Source organism: Homo sapiens, chromosome 2 (assembly GCF_000001405.40).
Source record: "Homo sapiens chromosome 2, GRCh38.p14 Primary Assembly".
NCBI lineage: Eukaryota > Metazoa > Chordata > Mammalia > Primates > Hominidae > Homo > Homo sapiens.
The window spans coordinates 220,492,680-220,501,042 of NC_000002.12; the positions used below are offsets into that span (position 1 = coordinate 220,492,680).

Below are 8,363 nucleotides of genomic sequence, written 5' to 3' on the forward strand. Positions count from 1 at the left end.
CAAGCATACGTAGCTGCATTTTCTTATATAATATTGATATGTAATGTGACTTCAGTGAAATATAAAAGTGAGGTTACTGGAGGTTGGTTTCTTTATTTGAAAAGAAGCTACATAGATGTAGGTTACAATCATTGAATCACGTGGATTTATGCCCTGTTTTCCCAAGGAATGACCTTTACACAAGAGTCCAAACAAGAGTGTCACCTGGGGAAGTAAAAGCTGCCTGTGACTTGGAGTAAGAGCTTCAGGTGATACAAATACTGTCATCTGTGCTTTACCCCTCCTCCTAAATGCCTGATTTAGCCCTCACAGTGACTGTGTGCTTGGAAATATTTCCATTATTTTTAGAGTAGGTGGACCTTCAAGGATGTTAAGTAACTTGTCCAAAGTCACAGAGTCAGTCACTGTTTTAAGAGTTTGCTAGGAAATCCTTGGAAACCTCTGCTTCTGCTGTCCTTTTGTCAGGTGGTCATCATTCCTTCATCTGCGAAAAAAATATGAGCTTGATAAAACTGCTACCAGTGGAGCATGTGCCACCAAGATTGGCTTTGATTCTCCAGGGATACCCTGTATGTATCAATAAGAGGAGGAGATAAAGGCCGGGCGTGTTCAGCAAGAATGTTTCTATTTTGCTCTATGTCATGATAAATTACGCTTGCTGGCTGCATCGAATATTTCTGTTGAAGAAGAAAGAACACCCCACTCTCAGGATCCAAATTGAGAAAAGGATAGCTGTTCTTGGATGTCATCACTGCCAATCTGCCCTGAAATAAAAGAGAGAGTCCATTTCCGCTGTGTTCCAAGGAAGCAGCGAGCCCTAGAACGTGACAGGTCTCTCTTTCTGCCCCTCCTCATCGAGGGAAAGGGAGAACTACTGAAACAAAAAGAAGGAAACCTCACAAGCAGAGGGCTGAGAAACCTAGGCAGATAACATCTCCTTATTTCTTAACACTCTCTTAGAAAATTAAAAGGACTTTGTAGAAAATCCTTTTGACTGATGGAGTAGCTCCGAGGAACAGAGAAAGACAGATTAACAAGATGAAAGACCAGGAGCCAGAGGACCCAGACCAGGAGCCAGAAGACCCAGATGCTTTGAGGGCAACATCTTCCTTTTGTTGGAAATAATTAAGTGGTTCCTCTTATTAGGTCATGAGTGAGGTATTGAACACTCCAGCAGTAATCTGCACAGACCTCCATTCTTCCAGACCTCCCTGCCAACAATTCCGTAAGCACTCAATTCCAGTAAAATCCTTCTTCTGTTTAAAATGCCTAGAAAATTTTCTATTTTCCTGACCAGCTTTGACTGATACAAACAGAAAATGTGGTGCCAGGTCCTGCAACCATCATCTTGCAGACAATCCTTTCACAATATTCCAACATGCTGAGGATTCCGAGACAGAAAGACAACAGATTCTCAGACGATGTCATTGAGCCACTGCCCCAGATCCCGACAGCATCGCGTTTTCACTGCTTTTTAGGTAAAGGAAAATAAAATATACTTGGGTCAGTCAAATTAGTTTAGTTGTAGCCAGAGTATTCCTATTTTTTACCCAAGCTTCTCATCTGAGAAATGGGGCTACAGCAAGGTTTAGCATATATTTAATGGGATATATGCAGGGTGCTTGGCATCAAGTAACCACTTAATGTTGGTGATTAATGTTGAATCATTTTACTAGTCCTTAAGTTCAAAATAAGATGTATCTTTTCCTCTCAATGAAATTTCCGCGGAGGAGAATTATGCCAATAGAATATGCTTTTCTGAATTCAAGCCTGGACATCCAGTTAAATAAGTTAATGCCAAGTGATAATATTTTCGGCTGACTCCTTTCTATTGCATTTACAAATAGAATTAGTGGATCTGTTACATAGACATTCATGTGTAAAGTGTGAACTGTATGTTAAAAATATAAGTAAGAGATTGAGCTTGAGATAGCCCTATGTGTTGTAAAGGAAAACAAACTTTAATGTTATGGGTATAACTTTCTCTCCTAATGTTCTATAATTATTTCTCATTCTATAATAACTTACTTTAAATAGGGTGACCATTTATAAATGCTCTGCTGGAGACAAAAAAAAAAAGGAAAATGTTGATTATATCTCATCAGCAGAGGATAACTGGGAGGTCATTATATTGCTTACTGTTTTCTGAAACCAAGACTGTAATCAGTGCTTCGGTTGGGAAAATCTGTTTTCCTCACCCAGTGGTTTATACCTACTTAGTGTCTTTAATATGGAAAGGTATTTGGCTTATTCAACTTCTCTAGCTGTGTTCATAAATCAAGATAATCATTATCAGCAGAACAAACAAGAGAAAAATATTATGATAAAATGTGAGATGTGAAATAACAATTTTAAGGCACAATGCTAATGAAAAACAGAAAATCATTATTTTTTTTTCTAAAGTGATTTATTTGCTCATGCAGTGTCTTTCCAAATTTGTTTCACTTGCAGGATACTTAAAGGCTACAAAGATGTATGGATATTGTGGCCCTGAACTCTTGTAGTTACCTATATTTTCAAATCAAACTTCTCCTTCTTTGAGGTCTATAAAAATTATAAAAATAAAATTGTATTCAGTGGCATCACTGGGACTTCATAATTATCTTTGCATTTTTGCTGTAATCTGTAATTTCTTCAAAAAGTTGAGGCTTTACAAACATGATTTAAATATCTGCTTATGGCAATATAAAATGCATTTAAGTAACTCTCTTTTTGATTCTTACCACCCTGAACAATATTCTGGTCTCGGTGGACTGACACCAAATTGACAAACCACAGCAAAATTGCTCATACACTGAGCCTGGGAGATAAAATGGCTGAGTGACAGGTGGGACTAATCAGTTCATAGGTAAAAATCAAGATTGGATTTGATGAGGGGATTTCTTGATCCGTGGTGGATTCAATCCTCTTTTCAATATACTGAAAAGACATTTTTGCCAAGTTTGATTTTCATTATTCCCAACCCTAGCTCTGTCAGTTTTCTTCAAGGGGACATCTCAACCCTGGCTTTCCCTAATTCTACAGCTAACCAAATAGCCTGAGGGGAAGAGTCGGAGTTAACAAAAGGGTGGGGAGAAAATTAAATGCCTGGTCTCCTGTGAAATCTATTTTAGAGAACTGCTATTAGTTATGCCAGGAGTTAGTTGCAAAAAAAAAAAAAAAAGCTGTACACTGAGGTGGCACCAAGACCATTATTACACTTACCTCTTCTCCTTATCATCAACAATGACAAAGAGAAGTGATTATTTTAACATTCAAATTAATTTTCTCATAGCAGAAATCATGTCTCTGCACAGATAACATTTTCTTTATTCCTTAGATCAGATATTTTCAACAAAAGGGTATTTCCCAGTCACCAGATGAGCATTTTGTGAATAACACAATGAATCTTTTCTCTGCTTCTTTAACATACATTTTGAAAAAAAGTATCTTCCCCAAGAATCTTCGTGCCTCTCTCCTCATCTCTCCTCAGTGTGAACCTTGGAGGCTTTTACCTGGTTGCTCTGAACAGCTACAGTGGTAGTTGAGGTCCAGAGAGCTTTGTTGGTGATGTGGACCGAGGTGGGTGGGCAAGGTGAAGGAAGGCACATCTTGTTGTCACCTTCGCCAGCATGAGGGGTGTGGACTGTGGCCTTGGTGACTCCAGGACAGTGTGAGTATTTGAAGATAACGTCTTGGCGTCACTGACACAAAGTCCAGGAGTTTGGGGCTGTGAGGGACTTAATCCACCTGTGCTCATGAGATTAATTTACTTTAAAGAAATGAAATGAAAAATTGTGTTTTTGAATCAGCTAGTACTAAAATGCTTATGATAAAAATAGCCATCCCCTGCCCCAGCCTAGTGTTGCCTCCTCAGTAGCAACCTCCTTCAATTCTTCTAGCTGTGTCCTCGATGATTTACCTTCATATTTTAAATAACATGCTTACATTCCTATTTCATTCCTTCAACAAATATTTAATGAGGCTCAGCTCTAGGTGCAGGCTCCCAGCAGTGAATCAAATTGTCAAGTCACTGTCCCCATGGAGCTGACATCCTCATTGTGGGAGGAGCACAGTGAGCAAAATATATAATATATGGTAATGCTACCATATATTATATGTGAAGAGCAAAACAGGCACGAGGGACAGGGAATGTTAGAGTGAGGTGGACAATTTTCAACACAGTAGAGAAGGGAGGTTAAAAGAAGAATGTAATGTTTGAATTTGAAAAAAATACCAGAAAACGGAGAGAGTGACTTGTAAACATATCTGTATTAGTGTTCTCTAGAGGGACAGGACTAATAGAATAGATGTATATATGAAAGGGAGTTGATTAAGGAGTATTGACTCATACGATCACAAGGTGAAGTTCCCACAATAGGCCGACTGCAAGCTGAGGAGCAAGGAAGCCATTCCAAGTCCCAAAATCTCAAACATAGGGAAGCCAATAGTGCAGCCTTCAGTCTGTGGCCAAAGGCCCGAGAGCCATGGCAAACCACTGGTATAGGTCCAAGAGTCCAAAAGCTGAAGAACTTGGAGTCTGATGTTTGAGGGCAGGAAGCATCCAGCACGGGAGAAAGATGGAGGCCAGAAGACTGAGTCAGTCTAGTGTTTCCATGTTCTTCTGCCTGCTTTATTCTAGCCTCACTGACAGCTGATTAGATTGTGCCCACCCAGAATGAGGGTGGGTCTGCCTCTCCCAGTCCACTGACTCAAATGGTAATTTCCTTTGGCAACACCCTCACAGAAACACCCAGGAACAACACTTTGCATCCTTCAATCCAATCAAGTTGACACTCAATATTAACCATCACAATATCTAAGGGTGAAGACTGCAGGTAGAGAAAACGCAAAATGCAGTGTCCTTATGTGTAGGATATGTTGCATGAAGAACAGCCAGGAGGATCACAGGCTGGGGTAGAGTGAGCAGGGGTGCCTAGATGACAATGTGGCCAGACAGGACACGTGAGGTGTACACAGGGACAGATTTTATAAGACCTTGCACCTGTCAAGGCCTCAAGCTTTCACTCTGAGTGAGCCTCTGAGGGTTTCAAGTAGGGAAGAGACAAGATCCTAAGATAGGACTTAGATTTAGTAAGAAACTCTCTGCTTCCTGGAATCAGAACAGGTGGGATTGGGGGGCAGGATTGAAAGAACCAGGAAGGATGCTTCTGCAGCCCAGCCAAGAGTTAATGTTTGCTCTGATCAAGGAGAGGGTGGAAAATGGGGGGACTTAGAACATATTTTGAAGGTAGAAGCTGGAAGGAGTAGCCGATAGAGTGAATGCTAGTACCTTAGCAGGAAGGAAGACAGGGGTGACTCCAAGCTTCTTGGCCTGAGGAACTGGAAGAATGGGATTTCCACTAACAAAGGCAAGTAAGAGTTTAGGAAAAGCAAGTTTGAGAGAGACATGAGAGTTGGGCATGCTAGTTAATTTTGAAATGTCTCTTGGAAAGGGTGACTCACAGCTTGGTTGGCCTAGGAAAGTCTTAGTTTACTTTGTTGTCATGAAAAATTATCAATATTGTATTGATTATCAGTATCTTCCTTTCACCCTGAACACTAACCCTGTTCAGATGATATGTTCACCTTGCTGCAGGCACCTGACTGAGGAGGTCAAAGAGACATAAGAGTGTGGAGTTCATGAAGTGGTTGTGCTGGGTACAGAGCCTGGAATGAGGAAAAACCAGCAAAGGAGACACAATGAATAAATAGATAATGATGTAGGTGGAAAGCCAGCTAAGAAAGAGGCATGGCAAAATGTGCAGACGTTACATTGGGCCACATAAGATGAAACTGGCATTGACCACTGGATTTGGCTCTGTGGAAGGCAATTGTGGTCTTAGTTTCTAGAAAGGAATGGAAATGAAAGCCTGATTAGAAAGCTGCTCCCTTTTTTGGACATTGGTTTCCCACTATGGTGGAGGAAGATTGGAGACTTATATCTCCCTCAACTCTTCATTATACTTCCTCTCCAATCTCTTTTCCACTCTTGTTATATCACATTCTCTTTTGCTTAAATCCATCATCTTTGCTTTCTTCATTTTGGATGCTATAAATAATGCTCTGCTAACCCAGGTCATAACCTAGAAAGATACCATTTTTTTCTTAATTAACCCTCTTAATTTTTTTCTTAGAGTTAAAAATGACTTTTTAATTTTTTTGCCTTATTTTCTGTGTACTTTTAGACCTTCAGCATCTCTATCATATGCCCATCAACAAAATGTTTAAAATGCTTAAACACATCATTCTCATTTCCCACTGGAGATTTTACTCTGAGAGTTTATGTCAGTTTTGTACAGTTTGGAGAGGGAGAGGAAATAGATGCATATTTGCCATGTTTAGCAGCTCATTGACCTTTGATCTGAAACCTGTTCACAAAAAGAAAGAAGGTAAAGAGACATCCTATTTTATCTACATTTTTGAATCAGATAAAAACTACATTTTGAGTTTCCAATCAAGTTATGCCTCTACATCTTAGATGATTCAATCTTTCCCTTGAGAAAAAAACAAACACATAAGCCAGATCAATATCTTTAAAGCCAATCTTAAAATGCATTGAATGAAAAAGAAAGTACTACTTTACATTTTTTTGTCTTGAAAACATTCCATATTTCATGAAACTTGATCAGTTATTTTAAGAGAAGCTAGTTCCCCGGAATGTCAAGAGGCAGGCCTTTCTCTGCCTTGTTAACAGTGCTTTGTTCTGCTTTTGACTTCCTTTATAGCAGTGGGTTAGGTTGAGAGTAGTTTTCTGTGAAGAGCTGCTGATCTCCCACCAGAAGCAGAGTCAAGTGTTGTGAAGCACATGTCGCAGCATTTTTGCTCTCAGATGATGGAACTGCCTGTCTCCTAACAGAGCTGGCAGGGCCTCTGGTGAGTCAGAGCAGAGCTTCAGGGGCCATTCAGAGCACAGAGGTTAAACACAAAGCTGGAGCCAGTCTGCCTGGATCTCAGTCCCAGCTCCTCCACTCACCATCTTTCAACTTTTGGTGCTCTTGGATAGAATGCTTAACCCTTGGGCATTGATCACCTCTTTTACAAAATGGGTTTATATATAATGATAGTGCCTGCCTCATAAGAGTTGTGTAATGATTGAATAAATTAAAACATGCAAAACAGCTGAAAGAGTGTGTGACATGATGAAGATTTAGTACACGTTAGCTACTATTATTATTTTACTCCATTTTGTATTTTTTTAATGTTTGAAATTTTACTAATCGTTTATTATATGGATAGCCTCTTTGGCAATCAGCTTTAACCCTCCATCCAGATAAAATTATGCTGATGAGTTTAGTATATGTCCTTTTAGATTTTAAAATAATTATATATAGTTGATCCTCTGTATCTATGGATTCTACATGGCTAACTGCAGAACTTGAGCATTCACAATTTTGGTATCCACAGAGGGTCCTGGAACCAATCCCCTATGGATATACTATATATAATACATATAGTATATAAGAATACATATAGTATATAAGAATATATATAATACCTATGTATATATTTAGATAATATGTCCAAAACAAAAGCTGAAATTTAGCCATTTGACTTATTCCTAAGCTACTGGGAAAAAAATTAATTTTCTGGGATATTAATACACTTTTCCCTTAGAATATTCCTAAATATTCTTGAAAGATTTCCAACTAATATGCACAAAAATCACTTTTTTATGGTTTACACATGTGTATTTACATGCAGGCTACCTCATTTTATTGAGCTTTGTTTTATTGCTCTTCACAGATACTGCATTTTTTACAGATTGAAGGTTTGTACCAACCATTCCTTGAGCAAGTCTATCAGCATCATTTTTCCAACAGCATGAGCTCACATTGTGTGTCTCTGTCAAATTATGGTAATTCTCACATTTCAAACTTTTCGTTATTATTATACCATTTTTAATTATTATTGTCATGGTGATCTGTGATTAGTGATCTTTGATGCTACTATTGTAATTGTTTTGGAGTACCCCAAACTGTGCCAATATAAGATGATGAACCTAATTGATAAGTGTATGTGTTCTGACTGCTCTACTGAACCCTACACCCCATCTCTCCCTTTTCTTCAGCCTCCCTACCCCCTGAGACACAAGGATATTGAAGTTAGGCCAGTTAGTAACCCTACAAAGGTCTCTAAGTGTTCAAGTAAAAGGGAGAGTCACACATATCTCAGTTTAAATCAAAAGCTAGAAATGGTTAAGCCTAGTGAGGAAGGAATGGCCAAAATCCCAGACAGACTGAAAGCTGGGCCTCTTGTGCCAGTTAGCCAAGTTATAAATGCAAAGGAAAAGTTCTTGAAGGAAGGTAAACGTGCTACTATAGTGAACACATGAATGATAGGAAAGCAAAACAGCCTTGATGCTGTTATGGAAAATGTTTTAT

General features: G+C 39.0%; 1 long non-coding RNA gene across 1 annotated transcript in view; it reads left to right on the forward strand.

Moving 5' to 3' along the window:
- Window positions 1–3,287, forward strand: part of LOC105373893 (uncharacterized) — a 428,255-nt gene extending 424,968 nt beyond the window's left edge. Inside the window, exon 5 of the long non-coding RNA XR_001739889.2 lies at window positions 466–3,287. This is a non-coding gene — a long non-coding RNA (uncharacterized LOC105373893). The remainder of the gene's footprint in view (window positions 1–465) is intronic.
- Window positions 3,288–8,363: the final 5,076 nt, after the last annotated feature.